The 20,084-nt window shown below is 42.8% G+C and overlaps 1 long non-coding RNA gene across 2 annotated transcripts, besides 1 other annotated feature; it reads right to left on the bottom strand.

Moving 5' to 3' along the window:
• Positions 2,290 to 2,459: an enhancer, noted in NCBI's record as "experimental_32764 CRE fragment used in MPRA reporter constructs". NCBI's record gives its function as "activates a minimal promoter by MPRAs in K562 erythroleukemia cells, with activity observed for the introgressed 13:25800360 variant allele {active_cell/tissue: K562}" and the evidence as "EXISTENCE:reporter gene assay evidence [ECO:0000049][PMID:34662402]".
• On the bottom strand, positions 3,311 to 12,473 carry LOC105370121 (uncharacterized). Of its 2 annotated transcripts, XR_941763.3 has the most exons (3): positions 11,692 to 12,473; positions 4,904 to 4,978; positions 3,311 to 4,734 (listed from the first exon to the last, which is right to left on the bottom strand). It is a non-coding gene; the product is annotated as an uncharacterized LOC105370121 (long non-coding RNA). The 2 variants fall into 2 exon arrangements; XR_007063730.1 differs by lacking the exon at positions 11,692 to 12,473 and having other exon boundaries at positions 4,904 to 6,376.
• Between the last annotated feature and the right edge of the window lie 7,611 nt (positions 12,474 to 20,084).

Here is a 20,084-nt window from a genome sequence, read left to right on the forward strand (position 1 = left end):
CAAACCATTATCACCTTGTTACAGTCTTTTGTAATAATGCTGGGCGTGTTGGGCCTCGGGACAGCCTCTGATCTTCTCCTGCCCTCCTGTCGCCTGCCCCAAGGCAGAACACCAGTCTTCTCCTGCCTTTCTGATTGCAGGTTTTAAGACCTTCCCCCGAGTGGGTCCCATCTCATGTCCTCGGGGAAAGGAATGCTTTCATAAAAACCCAGTAGGACTGGGCTCAGGTGCTTCCAGATGACTGAAAACGTGGAGGTTGATGGAAGCTCGGAACCCCTTCCCCCATACCTTGCCCTATGCATCTCTTCATCTGTATCCTGTGTACTATCCTTTATAATAAACCAACAAGTAAGTGTTTCCCTGAGTCGTGTGAGCTGCTGCAGCAAATTAATCAAACCCAAACAGGGGGTCGTAGGAACCCTAACTTGAAGATGTCCGGTCAGAAGTTCTGGAGGTCCAGACTTGCAGCTGGTGTCAGGGCGTATGACGGGAATCTTGGGGACTGTGGGATCCAGTTCCCAATGCCAGGGAGCCTCCAACCTGTGGGATCTGACACTGTTTCCGGGTAGTGTTGGAATTGAATTGGAGGACACCCAGCTAGTGTCTGCTGCTTCGTGTCGGGGGGAAAAAACCCACACATTTGGTCACAGAAGTCTTCTGCGTTGACTCTTGTGGTGATGGGGAAGTAGAGGAAAAATGCAGTCAGTGAGACTTTTTCCCCGAAACAAGCCTCTTTTATAAGTACCCTAATCCCATGCATTTGGGCGCAGCCCTCATGACTTAATTACTTCCCAAAGGCCTCACTACCATAGCAGGTATTAGTTTCCAAGATATGAATTTAGGGGAACAGCAACATTCAGGCTGGGAAGAAGAGTAGTTAGCAGCTGGGAGACTAGCTGGGGGTTCTGTGGATGCCCAGGAGAGGGTTGAAGGTGTTGCCACATTATTTTTCTCTTTTGTTTCATTTGTCTTTTTCACCCTTAAGTAGATATTCTGAAAGTCTGCCTACTTGATTACTTTTTGTCTAAGAAACTGCTCTCAGGTTTATTGGCTTTTTTGATGTTCTCTTTTTAATAATTCATTAACAGTGTTTTTTATCTTTGCTTTATTTTGTTGTTGTTGTTGTTTTTGTTTTTACTCATTTCTGCTTCTTAAGCTTAGCTCATCTGTTTGTTGCTTTCTTTAAAAACAAAAACAGGCCGGGCGCGGCACCTGTAATACCAGCACTTTGGGAGGCCGAGGCGGGCCAGGAGTTCGAGACTAGCCTGGCCAACATGGTGAAACCCCGTCTCCATACACAAAAAATTAGCCGGGCATCATGGCGCCTGCCTGTAATCCCAGCTACGCAGGAGGCTGAGGCAGGAGAATTGCTTGAACCCAGGAATTGGAGGTTGCAGTGAGCCGAGATCGTGCCACTGCACTCCAGCCTGGGCAACAGAGTGAGACTCCATCTAAAAAAAGAAAACACACACACACACACACACACACACACACACACACACACACTTGTTGATTTCAATATATCCTATAAATCTGATAGGTAGCAAAACCTTAGTTTCACCAGACATTGCCGGTTTAGGCACTAATGGCCTTGCATCAGTGACCCAAATTTCACTGGGTCAAGGTCCCACATGGACAGCGGTCATCTTTTTTAACCCTCTTAAGTTTGAGGAACTCCCCACCATATAAAGTGGAACCTACCTACCGTATTTTAAATGAATAGCCCCGATACTTTTCCCAGCTCCTTTTGTGCTAAGACATGGGTCCTAGACCCTACATTACAATCCAAGGACAGGAAGAGCTGGTGGCTGTGCAGAGCCCTCCTGGGATGCAGGTAGCCAGGGCCACAGCCACATACTATGATGGAGGAGCTTGTGGCATCTGGAAGCCAACAGCATAAAATGTTCCATGAAAGAGGGATGACCAAACACATCAAATGTCTTAAATGAACCGGAGAAAGGGAGCAATGAAAACTGGCCACTGGCTGTGGAGACCATGGGGAGTGGAATCAGGGGCCGCTCTTTCTGATGGTGTCTGTGTTCTCTGTGAACAGGGAAGGAAGCGGCGCGAGGGGATGTTGGAGGCTGGAGGAGAGAAGGTGTGTGGGCATCCACAGAAGGGGATCAGTACTGAGTAAGGTTGGCACTTTTTTGAGATTTCTTGAACATATGCAAATTTCCAAACATTGAAAAATTTCTGTAGCAGCAAGTCCCCATAACGTGTGCACTTGTTTCAGAGGACGCAAGCGTAAAAGCCAGATCAACTGTACTCTAGAGCCAATGCTAAGGGGTAGAACCTCCAGGCAGCTGGAAAGATGTATCAGGTCCCCAGAGTCTGTGGAGGGAATTACAGGATTGCTCCTGGAGACCCTGAGTGGGCAACAAGGGCTGAGTGGCTGGTGGCACAGCGGGAACCTTGTGCTCCTCACAGTCCTGAGCCCTCTTCTATGTGGTCTTTCTTCCATGAGGAAAATTGGACTTAAAATGTTTGGATTTCACTGATGTAGATCTCCAACAAATGTTTTTTTTTCCACTTTAATAGATCCCGGTAATTGCAAAAATCTAGTGGAGGTTATTTCTTGCACTCACTTCTGCTTTGACTGAATAATATATCTCCTTCCCCAGATGAGGACACGTTTTAAATGTGCTCCATCAGAGGCCTCTACTTTCCGCTGTGGTTTAAATGCTTATCTTTGAATGTGCTCCTAGTCTATGAGTGAATTGGAATAAGAATATAAATATTTGAAATGGCTAAAAGCAGACTTCCCCTGTCAAAACAACTGCAGTTTACCTCGAAAAGTGAACCCCACAGAACTTAAGAGGCTTCCCTTTCAGGCTTACACCCCAGACAACACTTTGAGCCTAATCTTTGGGCTTTCTAATTACTGACTTCCACTTGTTTTTTAATTTTAATTTAATTTATTTTTTTATTTTTTTGAGATGTAGTCTCGCTCTGTCACTCAGGCTGGAGTGCAGTGGTATGATTTCGGCTCACTGCAACCTCTGCCTCCCGTTCTCAAGCCATTCTTGTGCTTCAGCCTTCTGAGTAGCTGGGATTACAGGCACACACCACCACACCCGACTAATTTTTGTATTTTTTGTAGAAACAGGGTTTCACTGTGTTGCCCAGGCTGGTCTCAAACTCCTGAGCTCAAGCAGTCTGCCCGTCTTGGCCCAAAGTGCTGGGATTACAGGCATGAGCCATGACTTTCAATTTTAAAAGAGTAAGAGATTCTCCACACGTGTTCCCTACAATGTTAAGTCTCTGTGGCAGACAAGGAGTTGTAAATGGAACTTACAAAGAGGCAATCAAAATTATAAATTGTAAATTTAATTATAAGTATATAGTCTTATAAAATTATAAAACTAAATTATGCATTAAATTATAAATTGAGTCCATATATTGAATGCTACAAAAATTATAAATTGAATGCCAAGTATTACAATCCTATATTAAAGGGTTTTTACCCTATTCCTATTTACAAAAGGATATTTGACTACCTGACTTTCACTTATTCTCATGCCAATGTTAAACATAAATCTTACACCTGTGAAGATATAGACAGAAGCAGTCCATATTCTAAGAGTGAAATACTGATTTGATTGTGGATGTGACGCTACACCACCGAGCGAGGATGTTTTCACTGGCTGCAGTTAAACTCCGGAATAGGACCGTAAGAGAATCCTCTAAATAGCTCATTCCTATTTTCCAAGCACACTAGTAAAACCACTGTGGAGAACAACTGAACACTCTATAGGTCAGCCTTTGACCATAAATAAATAGGAGATGATAAAAACAGATAAATAAATAAGAACAAAGACCAAGGTTCTTCGGGTGCTTATTGTCTTTCACCACGTGCTGCATTTCGCACGACACATCCGCCGCTTTCCAAACCTTTCCCCTCTTGACTTTCTGTATCCCTTCATTTGTTCAACAGCTCTTCATTGAGCGTCCACTATGCCCTCGGGTGTTGAGTTACATCCCACACATGAAGGTCCCTGTCCTCGTGAAGTGTACGCTTGACGTTTGCTGTTTAAAAGTCTCTTTCTGCAGTAGTGCTGAAATTGATGGGAACGGTGGGCAGGAGAGGGCACGCTGAAGCCAGTGTCTGCTCGGCCCACCTGGTCCTCGCCTAGCTGGCAGCATCTGCTCTAGAGCCTTCCATCTGATGGCTGACCCTCATCGTTCCATCTTTGCCTCCTTAGTGAGGCTCCCCATTGCCACCCCAGGCACCCACAGCCTTCCCCTCCTCCTAAGCCCTATTGCCCTTACTGTTTTTCACGGCACACATAGGTTTGCACTGTACAATAGAAATCACTTCGACTGATGAGAGTTTATTGACTGTCTCTCCCTGGAAGGTTCCATGGAGACTCCTCAGTCTTCCTTGTCCTACCTCCACCTCATCTGTTCCCTTGGGTGTCATGCTCAGTTCTTTTCAGTAATGACTTAGTGCCTGCTATTGGTCAGATGCTGAGGATACAACGATGAAATAAGCCTTGGTCCCCATCCTCAGGGAGCTTATAATGTGTCAGAGGAGGCAGGCATGTAAGCATTTTCACGGCTCAGTCCTCTGCTATGAGCTATGTTCAAGAAGTACATGGATTTACTTGAATTCCTAGGAGATCACAAGCAGACCACTCAGCCCTGACTTCAGCCTACAGAAGACCTCTTGTTGACCACAAATTCAAGGATTCATTGGCCTACGATGATCTTGAAGGATGAGTAAGAGGTTAGCTAAAAAGAGGGACAAGGGGGATAGTAGAACATGGGTTACAATGGCAGAGCCAGTCAACCCTCCCCACTCCCAGGTAGGTGTCCTCTTGACCCAAGCATATATGGTCCTTGGTGGCTGCACCTCTTGATGACTACCCAGAGCCCCTGGAACAAAACCCGAGCCCCTCACCTGCACACCTGCCCCTCCTTCCTGTGTGTCCTGCTCTCTGGGGTGATGGAGGCATTTCTGTCTTTACCATGAACCCTTTTCTCAGGAAGACAAAATTAAATAATAAAGCCATGATAATATGATTTGTAATGAGCAAATGTTCTAATGTTTAAAAGGGAAGAAGATGGTGATAGGCAACTAAACAGTGAGGCAGGGGAAAGAGGGGCACTGCCATGGCGCTCTCATTGCACCTGACCCTTTCCCGAAAGGTCTGGGAAAAGAGTTCCATGCAACTGACATGAGATAATATTTGTATTTTCATGAGTCACAAAACTGCCAGAAACAGACCTGTTTTCTGAGCTACAGACTCCTGAACCCAGCTTCCTACTAACCGTCTCCCCCTGCCTTTCCACAGTGCCTTCAATCCTTCCCATGAAAAGCAGAACCCATAATCTCCCACACATATACCCGACCCCTGCAGCTTTATTTCTCAATTTGGTTAATGACACTGTGGTCCCAGCCGGCAATCCAAGAGATATCAGAAATGCCTATTTCTGCTGCACCCTCACGTTGAACTGTTCCTCAAGACCTTTTGATTCTCCCCACTACAACTGTCCCTACTCCTTCCCCTACTTGACATCCCGGCATGCAATGTTTGCTGTTTTATCACTGCCTGAGCAATTGCAAAAGCTTCATCATTGGAACCTGTTGTCTCATGCTGGATCCCCGCTCTCCTCCTTTCCCTAAAGCAGAGCTTTGCTAGAACCTGTGAGCAGGTAGCCGACCTGGAAACTACTCAAAGAGGCAGGAATGAAGGAGCCCAATGAATAATGGGAGGAGCAAAACCAACATAAACATGAATTACTGAGATCACCTCTGTAGGCAACTGGGGCTCGGTGCCACCACTTGGGCACATGCAGGTTGCTTCTCTGAATGGACCAGGAGAAGCGTGTGGCCACTGGCTCCATCCCTCCCTGTGTGAGGGAATCCCCTGAAAGGGTTAAATCTCCTGCATTTTGGAGCTGGGTGGTTCTGAGCTGGGCACAACCTACCTGGAGTCAGTGGCTCTGGAGAATACCTACAGCAGGGTGCAGAAGGTGTGAGGTGTACTCTTGGGAAAAAAGCTTTAGTGCCAGGTGCATCCAAGCCACAGGAAAGTGCTCACTGCCCCGAGTGAGGTGAGGGGGTGTGGCACAAGGCTCCAGAGGCATCTGACACCCGATAACCCAAATCTGCCCTCATTCCAAAAGGTCTTTCTAAAGTATGTCTGATTATGTAACCTCCTGCTTAAAAACCTCCAGCTCCCAGAGGCTTACAGCGCAGCACCTGCTCCCAGTAGAATACAGTCTGCACCGTCTGGCCACCACCACCTTCTGACCTCGTCTCCCATCTACCTATCCCCACCAACACATCAGAGAGCCTGCAGCACCCTGGACTAGTCATGATTTTGTTGACTAGTTGAGATGTAGTCTTGCTCTTGTTGCCCAGGCTGGAGTGCTGTGGTGCGATCTCAGCTCACTGCAACCTCTGCCTCCTGGGTTTAAGTGATTACCTGCCTCAGTCTCCCAAGTAGCTGGGACTACAGGCGCCCACCACCACACCCAGCTAATTTTTGTATTTTTAGTAGAGACGGGGGTTTCACCATATTGGCCAGGCTAGTCTCGAACTCCTGACCTCTGGTGATCCACCCACCTTGGCCTCCCAAAGTGCTGGGATTACAGGCATGAGCCACGGCCTGGCCTCATTCCTTTGTTTTTGTTAATCTCTTTATCTTGAATGTTCCTCCTCTTCCACCTGGTGAATTCCTACTTATCACCTAAAACTCAACTCAACTACCATTTCTCCTGTAGAGCGCTCCTGACTCCTACCACATGCCCCCATCTGGTCTACAGCGAGGGAAAGCAAAAGCATCCCTCTCTTGTTCCTAAACCCAGTCATCACAGGCCATGTCACGGGTGGAATGGTGTAGCCGGCCTGTCCATTTTCTTGTATTACATGCTGCCTCTCTCCCCACTATCTTATGAGACCCTTCAGGGCAGAAACTCTTCTGTCTTATTTTCACATTTTCAGTGCCTTAAACAATGTTTGACCCATAAGTCACTCACAAAATGTTTCTTGAAGAGCAACATGAATTAGTCACATATAATGAACTAGCCACTTTGCAAAGTATTTAATGCATGTGTCACTTAACCACATGGAGGAACCAAAAATTTGTCCTAATAAAGTACACCTGAAACACTTACCAACACGTGGTTAGGCAAAGAGGTTAAACGAACAGAGTCAGATGTAAACAGCTGAGAGTTCCGTTCCTCTACCACTTACTCATCTTCACCATACAGAGAAGCTTCCTCTCTTTTATTTTTATATTTATCCTTTAAAATATAGTCCTGGGGCCGGGCGCGGTGGCTCACACCTGTAATCCCAGCACTTTGGGAGGCCAAGGTGGGCGGATCACGAGGTCAGGTGATTGAGACCATCCTGGCTAACACGGTGAAACCCCGTCTCTACTAAAAATACAAAAAATTAGCCAGGCGTGGTGGTGGGCGCCTGTGGTCCCAGCTACTTGGGAGGCTGAGGCAGGACAATGGCGTGAACCTGGGAGGCAGAGCTTGCAGTGAGCCAAGATTGCGCCACTGCACTCCAGCCTGGGCGACAGAGCGAGACTCCATCTCAAAAAAATAAAATAAAGTCCCGGAAGAGCAACTGCTGTACATTTATTAGTTCAAGTCAAAATCCTCAGGGACTTGAAAATGGACACTAAATCAGAGGATCTGGAGTGAAATGCCTTGAGAAAGGGTAAGTGGAGAAATGAATGGCCCTTGCGGAGTGAGAAACTGGGTTAAAGCAGTGGGAACAGTCAGAGAAAACAGCCACAAACACTACATCTCCCAAAGACGAAAGCACTTCCCTAGTAGCTGCACAGGAAGGAGGGGCATGAAACATTTATTACTATCGCACTTTTTCAGAAAGCATTTGGCAAAGAGCCACCTGGCCTGACTCCTGGAGGTGCGGCCCTAGTCCCCCCATCCCAGCCCCACTGCCAGGAGGTGCTGCAGAGCACAGAGGCCCTCTAAGTGGGGTCTCTCCAGTGGCAGAAGGCTCTTAGCCATATTGGATGCATCCCATTATGATATTGCATTCTATCTAGCATTAACATTCAAATTGTAAAATCCTAACTCGCTTCTAACTCTGCAATGCACTCAAATATTTAGAATAAATATTTGCCTCAAATTAGGAGGAAGGAAAGAGAAAGCCTATTAAAAGAAAAAAAGGGCCAGGTGCAGTCGCTCACACCTGTAATCCCAGCACTTTGGGAGGCAGAGGCAGGCGGATCACCTGAGGTCGGGAGTTCGAGACCAGCCCGGCCAGCATGGCAAAACCCCATCTCTACTAAAAATACAAAATTAGCCAGGCATGTAATCCCAGCTACTTGGGAGGCTGAGGCAGGAGAATCGCTTGAACCCGGGAGGTGGAGGTTGCAGTGAGCCGAGATTGCACTACTGCACTCCAGCCTGGGCAACAAGAGTGAAACTCTGCTTCAAAATAAAATAAAGAAAAAGAAAAAAAAAAAGAGAGAAATTCTAGCAAATGGAAAAGTCACAGGCTATTTGAAATTTAAAAGTATAATTCTTGGTATGTAGCAATATTTTAACATGGTTCCTTTAAATTTCTTCTCAACTCAATCCAAAATTAAAAAAAAAAAAACCTCAAAAGTTTGGACCTGTATATCCATCCATCCACCTATCTATTCAATCAATAAGGATTTCCTGAGCACCAACGGGATGGCAAGCACTGTGCTTAAGTGTCGAGGATAAAAAGAGAATAACACTTTCTTGCCACTAAAAGAAAGCCTTATAGTCCAGAACAAGAAATGAGACATTTTTCCTTTTCCATGTCCAGTCCCTAGGATATCTTTAATATATTCTCTTTTTCCAATTCTTTTTTTCTGGTGGGGGGGCAGGGTCTTGCTGTTTCACCCAGTCTGGAGTGCAGTGGAGAGATCATGGCTCACTGTAGCCTTGACCTCCTAGGCTCAAACGATCCTCCCAATTCAGCCTCCCGAGTAGCTGGGACTACAAATGCATGGCACCACACCTAAATTTTTGTAGAGACGGAATCTCATTATGTTGCTCAGGCTGGTGTTGAACTCCTGGGCTCGAGCAGTCCTCCCACTTCGACTTCCCAAAGTGCTGGGATTACACGCTTGAGCCACCATGCCCAGTCCTACTTCAGTTATTTTATTAAAAAAGTTATAAAGATAAAAATGTAGTCTGCATTCATGGTCTCTACTTACTCATGTCCCCCATTAAACTATAAAGCCTCTACTGCCTAATGTCGGCCTCTAATCTCTACTGAAACTGCTCTTGCCAAATGAAAATGACAGGGACAATTTCTACTCTTTAAATGACCTCTAGGTGGCACTGGACATAGTTAATAATTTTCTCAATCACACTTCCTCCCTGGATCCTGTCTCTCTTTGGTTTTCCAGTGCGCTCTCTTTTGCTGTTTTTTCTTAAGGTCTGCCCAGTTTTGAGGGATTCCTTCTCAGATCTCTTATCTTATTCTAAGAACTGAAAAATTTTATGCATGCCCATGGCTTAATTCTGCACTATAACCTGGTGGCTTCCAGATTTCCCACTCTAATTGACATCTCTTCCCTTAACACCAGCCTCATATTCCAATTTGTATAAATAGCTCCACTTGGATGTCTCAGAGACATCTCCATGTAATACCCCTAAAACCTAAGCCTCTTTCCCACATACCTGATTCTTCTATTCCCTTCCTAGATGAATGGCAGCCCCATCTATCCCAGTCAGCCTGTGAAAAACCTGGAAGTCACCACTGCTTTATACCCACGCTCATACCTAGGCCCTCTAAATTCAATCTGACCTTGTATCACTCTTGCTTAAAACCAAAGCTCCAAACTGCCTCTCCATCTTCCTCAATATGACATCCAATACAGCTCTTACTACTGTCTAGTCACATTTTCATTATGATCATATTTTAAAATATGTTGCTCCCCACCAAAAGCCATGATGTCCCTTCTTTGCCTCTATATATATTCTAACTGGATAACTTTCCCCTTCCTACCTGGCTAGAGCCTACACATTCATCCAAAGCCTACTCCTATATGCAAACAGGTCAAAAGGAAGTCTTTGATGACCCCTCCCCAAGCTAGACTTCTTTATGCTATAAGAGCAGTAATTTACAGCAGCAAAACTTGTAAACTTGCAGCAAAATAAGTAAACTTGTTTACTTAGTAAACAAGTAATGTTTACTAAGGGCTAACCTGTCACACTGGTTCTTAAATGTGCATAAACATCCCCTGGGAGCCTATGAAAATGCTGGTCTTCAGGGCCCAGTCTGATGCTCAGATCATCTGATCTGGGACTGAGCTCAAGAGTCTACATTTTTAACAAGGTACTCTAAGTGATGCTGACACAGTTGATCAGGGAACCAGATTCTGAGAAACACTGAACTACCGGCTCTCCTCCAATCCACTCACTATGTTGCTACCAAATTAATATTCATAAAATAGCTTTTGTATTAAAACATCAAGTACTTGGCACCAAGCCTGATTGTGTGCTTCACACATACCTGTCAACTAACTTCAATTCAGTGAGGTTGATATTCTCTACAAAGAAGCAGAAGATTACAGGGGTTGACTTGCTCAAACTCTCCTTCCTATTGATAGGATTTAAACTTGAACCTCATTTCAGCCTACCATACCTTGGGTCATTCTCTGTTATAAAAAAACGAATGACCGAAAGTTTCACTGGTACCTCCCTGACAGTCGATGGACTCAAATCCTTGGGTTGGATTCGAAGGCCCTGAGTCTTCCCCTCCTTACTAACTCCCCATACTCCCCACATGAATGCCTCCGATAATTTGCTTAGCAAACACTCCCTTTCCTCTTATAGTTTAAATCTCTCTTCTCCATTGCGTCCCTCTCGAACTGCCAGATACTTGGATCTTCCTTAAATTAAATCACAACATTTTAGAACTGTAAAGGAACATGGCAAACAATGCCTTCATGTAACAGGTGAGGGAATGAGGCCCTGTGGGGAGGTGCCTTTCCCAGAGCCCATTGCAGAGCTGGAACTAGGTCCTGGTTCTCCTGGTCCTTGGGCCAGCACTTTCTCCACAAAAAACACCACCTCCCTTCATTTATTCCAAAAACTACACCTTCCTCTTGTGTGAAGGAGCCTTATGGAGTGATGGAAATGTTCTAAAATGGGATTGAAGTGACAGCTGCAAAACTGTCTATTTACTAAAAATCACTGAATTGTACATTTAAAATGGGTGAATATTAAAGTACGTAAATTATATCTCAATAAAGCTGTTAGAAAATAAAATCTTGCCCTTGGAGAATGAACTACACAATTAGTCAGAAGCAGGCTCCAGCACACAGCAGACAGTGGTGCATCATAGTTATCAGCCTACTGTTTGTCCTCAAGTTAAGGTCCCTGTCCTTCCTTAATCTTTTTTTGAGACGGAGTTTCGCTTTTGTTGCCCAGACTGGAATGCAATGGTGCAATCTTGGCTCACGGCAACCTCCGCCTCCGCCTCCCAGATTAAGCGATTCTCCTGCCTCAACCTCCCAAGTAGCTGGGACTACAGACGCCCACCACCACGCCCGGCCAATTTTTGTATTTTTAGTAGAGACGGGGTTTCGCCATGTTGGCCAGGCTGGTCTTGAACTCCCGGCCCCAGGTGATCCACCTACCTCAGCCTCCCAAAGTGCTGGGATTACAGGTGTGAGCTACCGCGCCCGGCCCCTGTCCTTCCTTTCATAGCAGCCATCTTACCTGCTAACACTGGAAGGTAAGCTTCCTGGGGACACCGGCTTTTGTATTTGGTCCTCTTCTCTGTCCCCAGTTTCTATAATAATACCTGGCATGTGGTAGGCATATCAAATATTTGTCAAGTGAATGAATTTAAAAACATGCAAACCTCTTTTTCATCACTCGACCACATCGAACCTGGCTTGTTTTTCGAGGGAGGGGATGGCCAACCTGTCCAAAGTTCACAGATGCTTGGGGCAGAGCAGGGACCGGCCAGGCTCCAGAGTCTGTGTTCTAACCACTGCCCTGTGCTGCCTCCCATGAGCATTGAACACACATTAGCTGGGAGTGCCAGCAAATCTGCAAGTAGTGAGATTACCTAGGTCCTAAGAGATGGCCACGTTGGTCAGTATCATTTCTTCATTTAAGAGAGAGCTGGGTGAATTGTTTTTAATGAAGATTAAGAAGGGTTTTGGAATAGCAAGGCTAAGTGTGAATACAGATTGCTGGCTGTGTAATGGTGAGCATGTTACCTAACTGCTGAGTTGGCTTCTTCACAAAAATGAGGAAAAGACCACTGTCCTTGCAGGGTTACTGTGAATACTGAACCAAACAATGTCTGTAATGTACCCAGCACCCTACTTGGCATGCACTAGGCACTCAATAAATGCCAAATGACTGAAAGAAATTGGGGGGAGTTGGGGGCAACGTGGAAAAAGAATCATAGGAAAGGAGAGTAAGGAGATAATATGAGTAAGACAAGGTGGCTCACGCCTGTAATCCCAGCACTTTGGGAGGCTGAGGCGGGCGGATCATGAGGTCAGGAGATCGAGACCATCCTGGCTAACATGATGAAATCCCGTCTCTACTAAAAGTACAAAAAATTGGCCAGGTGTGGTGACACACGCCTGTAGTCCCAGCTACTCAGGAGGCTGAGGCAGGAGAATCGCTTGAACCCGGAAGATGGAGGTTGCAGTGAGTCGAGATTGCACCACTGCACTCCAGCCTGGGCGACAGAGCGAGACTCCATCTCAAAGCAAAACAAACAAACAAACAAACAAACACAAAAACAGAAGAGGCAGAAAGAGGGACTCAGTAACATCTATGTAAATTTTAAACACACACACACACACACTTGCAGGACAAGCATCTCGAAGGGCATATATTCAATACGTTAAATAGACGTTCTGCGGGGAGAGGAATTCGAGTGAGCTGAAGGGGAATACAGAACGAGGCTGGGGCTTGTATGAGCAGAGGGAGCTGATGCTGAGCCCTGAGACCTGAGATACCCAGTCCCACAGGCCTCTCTGTTTCTCTCTCTCACACACACACCTCCCCCAGACTTACGCAAGGACAAGCAAAGAAGGAAAAGGGCACCCTCTCTGCCCACTCAACTTTTGTTCCCAAACTCTCTGATGTTTTGTTTCGCTATCTACCAGCTGCTCAAAAAATCTACCTTCTGCTGGCTCCAGTGAGCCCCAAATCCTCCACGATTCCCCTAGGTCCTCCCTTGCCACAACGCCTTTGCCACCAGTCCTCCTTCCCCTCCTCAAATGCCAAGATTGCTTGTCAAGGCCTTATTTCTTGACAATCTGCCCACTGTCTGCTATTTCTAGCGAATACATTATTAGATAAAGACTTCGGAATTTACATCTTCCTGGAGGAACTGTCTTGTATACAAGCATGCAGTTGGATCAGTTAAAAACAGAGGGCAGAGGAGCTGACAATTTCTTCTGTCAAGCTTTTGAAACTAAGTTGAGGAACAGCAACATCCTCTGATAATAATGTCTGGTGATCTGGTAATTTGAATAAGAGCTTCTCACTCACCCAGTTTCACACACATGTGTTCTATTCAACATCTCCAACTTCATTTCTTTTATGATATTCCATGTTTGCTTTCAGATAGCTTGGCTAGAGTGCACCTAAAATTTCTCATATATTGTATATGAACCTTGTGTGTTTAATTTTCATATTTTTGACAACCATATCAACAGAGCAATTTAAGATGAGCAAAAGGATGATGGTTCAGTTAATAAATCTGAGAAATGTTTTTCTTCCTTCTTCCTTGCCGAAGTGGTCAGCTTTTCATGGTGGCCACCCTTCCTCTAGTTTACAAACCTATATTCTGCCAACGTTAAGGAATAGCTGAATGAAAGCCAGAAAAGACGTTTCAAGAAAAGAAGGATACTGATGCAAAAATCCTCAACCAGAATACTAGCAAATTGAATTCAACAGCACATTAAAAGGATTATATACCATGACCAAGTGGGATTTATTCCTGAAATGCAAGAGTGGTTCACATATGAAAGTCCATCAGTGTAATACACCACATTAAAAGAAAGAAGGAAAAAGCCTCACGTGATCATCTTGGTGCAGAAAAAGCACATGACCAAATTCACACATTTTCACAGTAAAGTAATACTCAACAAACTAGGAATAGAAGAAAAGTACCTCAACATAACAGAGGCCATACGGCATATGAAAACCCCACAGCTAACACCATACTCAAGGGTGCAAGACTAAAACCTTTTCCTCTAAGATCAAGAAGAAGATAAGGATGCCAGCTTTCACCACTTTTATTCAATACAGTACTTGAAGTTCTAGTCAGAACAATTAGCCCAGGCACAATGGCTCATGCCTAGAATCCCAGCACTTTGGGAGGTCAAGGCAGGAGGGTTACTTGAGTCCAGGAGTTTGAGACCAGCCTGGGCAACATAGTGAGACAAATAAAAAAAAAAAAAAGTAGCTGAGCATGGTGGCGCCTGCCTATAGTTCCAGCTACTCAGGAGGCTGAGGTGGGAGAATCACCTGAGCCCTGGAGGTCAAGGCTGCAGTGAGCTGAGGTCACGCCACTGCTCTCCTGCCTGGGCACTGGAGTGAGACTCTGTCTCAATAATAATAATAATAATAATAATTATTATTATTATTATTATTCCATTAAAATAGTATCAAAAGAATACTTATAAATAACCAATGAGACTAAACACTTGTACACTGAAAACTATAAAATATTGCTAAAAGAAATTAAAGATGGCACAAATAAATGAGACGGCATCCCATGTTCACAGACTGGAAGACAATATTGTTAATTTGTCAATACTACCCCAAGCAATTTACGGATTCCACGTAATAACTATTAAAATCCCATGGTATTTTTTGCAGAAATAGAAAAACCTATGGAAGAATACATATTCACCATCTCATAGGACCGTGAACAGCCAAAACGATCTTGAAAAAGAATAAAATTAGAAGACTTACACTTTGATTTCAAAACTTACTACAAATCTACAATAATCAAACAGTGTCGGCTGGCAGGGTAAATCATGCCTGTAATCCCAGCACTTTGGGTAGCTGAGGCTGGAGGATTGCCTGAAGCCAGGAGTTAGAGACCAGCCTTGGCAACATAGTGAGACCCTGTCTCTACTAAATAAATAAATAAGCTTATTTATTTATTTAAATACAGTGTAGTACTGGCATAAGGGCAGACATACAGACCAATGGAATAACATAAAGAGCTCAGAAATAAACCTTCACATATGTGGTCAACTGAGTTTCAACAAAGGTGCCAAGACCATTCAGTGGAGGAAAGGATGGTATTTTCAATAAATGTCACCAGGAAAACTGGCTCTCTATATGCAAAAGAATAAAGTTTGACCCTTACCTAACACTGTATACAAAAATTAACTCAAAGTGAATCAAAGACCTAAATGTAAGACATAAAAATATAAAATTCTTAGAATATAGGGCAAAAGCTCTGCAAAGTTGGATTTGGTAGTTATTTCTTGAAATGACACCAAAATCACATGCAACAAAAGAAAAAATAGGACTTTATCAAGAGTAAAAACTTCTGTGCATCAAGTGACACTGTAAATAGAATGAAAAAACAACCCACAGACTGGGAGAAAATATTTGTGAGTCATATATCTAAAGGGATTAATATCCAGAATATATAAAGTATTTCTATAACTCAACAAAAAGCCCAATTAAAAAATGAACAAAGGACTTGAGTAGACATTTCTCTAAAGAAGATATATACAGGCCGGGCATGGTGGCTCACGCCTGTAATCCCAACATTTTGGGAGGCTGAGGCAGATGGATCACCTGAGGTCAGGAGTTCAGGACGTGCCTGGCCAACATGGTGAAACCCTGTCTCTACTAAAAATACAAACATTAGCCAGGCATGGTGGTGTACATCTGTAATCCCAGCTACTCAGGAGGCTGAGGCAGGAGAATCACCTGAACCCAGGAGGTGGAGGTTGCAGTGATCCGAGATCGCATTGCTGCACTCCAGCCTGGGCAACAAGAGCAAGACTCCATCTCAAAAGAAAAAAACAAAGAAGATATATACAAATGGCCAATAAGCACATGAAAGGATGCTCAATGTCACTAATCATTACAGAAATGCAAATAACAATCACAATGAGATACCACTTCATACCCTAATAATCATTAGGATGGTTGTCATAAAAATAAAGTGGAAAATAACAAGTGTTGGCAAGGATGTGAGAAACTGGAACCCTTTGGCATTGTTGGTAAGAATGTAAAACAGCCGCTATGGAAAAGTTTGTTCTTCAAAAAATTAAACATAGAATTATCATAGAATCTAGTAATTCACTTCTGAGTATATATCAAAAATAATTAAAATTCTTATTCAGTTCTTGTTGAGACTTGAAGACTTATACACCAATGTCCACACCGGCATTATTCACAATGGCTAAAAAGTAGAAATAATCCAAGTGTCCATTAACTGATGACAGGATAAACAAAACATGGTCTATACATAGAGTGGAATATTATTCAGCCAGAAAAAATGTATGAAATTTGGATACATGCTAATCCATGGATAAATCCTGAAAACATGCTAAGTGAAACACACCAGACAGAAATGGACATATACTGTATTCTACTTATATGAAGCAACTAGAATAGTCAAATTCATAGAGACAGACAGTGGAATGATGGTACCAGGGGCTGGATTGAGGGTGGGGTGATGAGGAATTACTGTTTCATGGGTACACAGTTTTTGTTTGGGATGATGAAAAGTGGATGAGGTAATAGTTGCACAACATCGTGAATGTACTTAATGCCACTGAATTATACATTTAAAAATTGTTAAAATGTTAAGTTGGTGTTACGTATATTTTACCACAATAGTAATGAACAAAAGAATACTTGAGGGGATTGGGTTCCCACAGGATAAATGGCAGCTACCCAAATTAGAATTTCCACATCCACCAAAACAACCATACAGATCAACAGGGAGGACAAACTAAATTGCCCTGGCATACACTTGCAACATTATTAAGAGTCAGAGAATTTTATAAATTTCAATTTAAATATGACTGCAGAAATAAAGGCCTGAGACCAGTAGATCCACCGTCTATACCAGAGTGGACAATCAGGTAAAGAATGCATAGAAGAGAGTTCAATGAGGTTTTGCTGGTGATGGATCAGTAAATGTCAACTAGAGCTCATTCCCAGAAGGAAAGGATCCCTCTCTCAGTAAAAACATTGACACCATGTCTGAAAACTGAGGAGTCAAAGGAAGGGGCAGTCTTGAGAAAACATTAGTTCTAAAAGGATATCTTTGAAAAGAATATCTTGGAAGGGTAGAGGTAATGGAAGAGAAGAAAACAGCTAAAGATAAACATCCTCCTGAGACAAGATGATATAAACAAGTTGAGACAGACAACAAAGGCACCCTTTATTAAGGACACTGTACTTCACTATAGCAATGAAAGAGGAAGCTCTTGAACTAAGAAAACTGTTAAGACATGCAAACTCTTCCATTCTTCTACATAGGATTGTCTGTTATCACTGGTCCAGGCAAATCCAACACAAATACTCATGAACAGAAAATGAAAAACGAACAAGCATTCATGTGAAGTTATTAATTAAAAAAATTATACATAAAACTTTTCAATAGATGAAACCCAAAAGAGAAAGATTACAGGCACAGGCAAATGGTAACAAAACTAAAAGACGGATTAAAATAGAAGTAAAAATGCAAGTACTGATATGATAAACCACCACTTATCATAAATACAAAAACTCAAATAAAAATGGAGGAAAAAAGTGAAACAAGAACTACTGAACTTAAATAAGCTAAAGCAAAAGGAAAATATTTCAGAAATAAAAATTAAATGTTGTTTGCAAAGGGAAATATGAATAACTGGACATACAATAAAAAACATAAAGGAAAGAAATTAAAAGTGCCAAAAAATTAAATAGAAATTAACAAAAGATGGTAACAGGATCAGAAAGCAATACGTATAGAAGATAAACAAGATCTAATATGCATACAATTTGAGTTCCTAAAAAAGGAAAGAAAAACAATGTTTAAAACTCATTCAAGAAAACTGCCTAAATACAAGCAGACTTGAATCTACATGATAGTATACCTGGAAAACTGACTTAGAGGAGTCAAGACATAATCTTGCAAAACTATTGACTTTAAAAAGAAAAAAAAAAACCCACTGGACTTTAAGGCAAAAAACCAAGTCACTTACAAGGGAAAGAAATCAGGTTGGCTTCAGACTTCTTGACAATATACAAAACAAGAAAATAATGGAACAACGTTTTCAGGAAAACCTAAGAAAGAAGTGTGACCATGGTCATATGAAAATGGCTTTGTTCTTACAGGACACACACTTTAAATATTTAAGGAACATAGGGCATCATATCATAGCATCTTACTCTCAGAGGGATTCAGGAAAAAATGTCCCTTCTGTACTTGCCAATTTTTCAGTGAGGCTGGATTGTTTCAAAATAAAAAGAATAGCAAAGAAAACCCTGAGAAAGAAGAGTGATGAGGCAGAGCTAGCTCTACCATGTAGCCTAGATAAATACAACTGGATGGGTTTGGCACATCAATACAGATACACATGCTACAGAACAGGATCAAGAACTACATAAAAGTGACATCTGAAATCACTGACAAGATGAACTTACTAATAAATGATTCAAACAACCAGGTAGCCATTTGGGAAACAGATAAATTTGGATCCATACATCTTTCTATATATCAGAATGAATTCCAAATGGATCAATCAAATGTAAAGACATAGAACCCTTTAAATATTGAGAACATGAGTGAATCCTTTATAACCTAGTATTAGAGCAGTCTAATTACGATTCAAAACAAGAAGTAATATAAGACTAATACAATTCTACCTCCTAAATGTCAAACTCTTCTACAAGGCAAAAAACATAAGCAGCAAATGACAAACTGGGAGATTATTATTTGCAGGTCTGTTTTCCGATATCTCAGGCTCACCTTGTACTCTCCCTTCAGTTTTGGAATCAACCATTTGTCCAAGAAAACTTTTGTTCCTTTGCACATTATATCACAAAATATAAAAAGCTCTTAATAACTACCTATTTTTTTAGAAAAAAATAGGCAAAAGACACGAATAATTCACAGAAAAAGTGCAAATGATCTTAACTACATGAAAAAAATGAGAAAAAAAAATTGATGCCTTATCCATCGATGCTATCTTTACCATGCTCAAAACTTACAGACTATAATCCTATGTAGAAGAATGAAGAGTATGCATGTCTTAGCAGTTTTCTTAGTTCAAGAGTTTCCTCTTTCGTTGCTATAATTAAGTGCAGTATCTTTAATAAAGGGTGCCTTTGTTGTCTGTCTCCTGACTTGTTTATATTGGCTTGTCTCAGGAGGGTGTTTACTTACATATGGTGGCTCATGCCTGTTATCCCAGTACTTTGGGAGGCTGAGGAAGGCAGATCACTTAAGGTCAGGAGTTCAAGACCAGCCTGGCCAACATGGTGAGATGAGACCTCATCTCTACAAAAAATACAAAAATCGCTGGGCATGCTGGCGTGTCCCTGTGGTCCCAGCTACTCAGGAGGCTGAGACATGAATCGCTTGAAACCTGGAGGTGGGGATTGCAGTGAGCTGAGATTGTGCCACTGCACTCCAGCCTGGGCAACAGAGTGAGACTCTATCTCTAAGTAAATAAATAAATAAGAATTCCCCACTTTGGGAGGCCGAGGCAGGCGGATCACTTGAGATTAGGAGTTCAAGACCAGCCTAATCAACACGGTGAAATCCCGTCTCTACTAAAAATATAAAAAATTAGCCAGGCGTGGTGGCAGGCGCCTGTAATCCCAGCTACTTGGGAGGATGAGGCAGGAGAATCACTTGAACCAGGGAGGCGGAGGTTGCAGTGAGCCGAGATGGCACCACTGCACTCCAGCCTGGGTGATCCAGCGAGACTTGTCTCAAAAAATAAAAATAAAAATAAAAAATTCTTTCATCTTTACTCCATTCCCTGAGCTACTTCTACTCTGGCTGACCTGTTTAAAACATCCTCAACAAAAATACCCTCTTCTCAGCCAGTCATTTTCTTCCTCATATTTACAACCAGATCTGTCTTTGGAGAAACATTTCACCT

Source organism: Homo sapiens, chromosome 13 (genome assembly GCF_000001405.40).
Source record: "Homo sapiens chromosome 13, GRCh38.p14 Primary Assembly".
Classification (NCBI taxonomy): domain Eukaryota; kingdom Metazoa; phylum Chordata; class Mammalia; order Primates; family Hominidae; genus Homo; species Homo sapiens.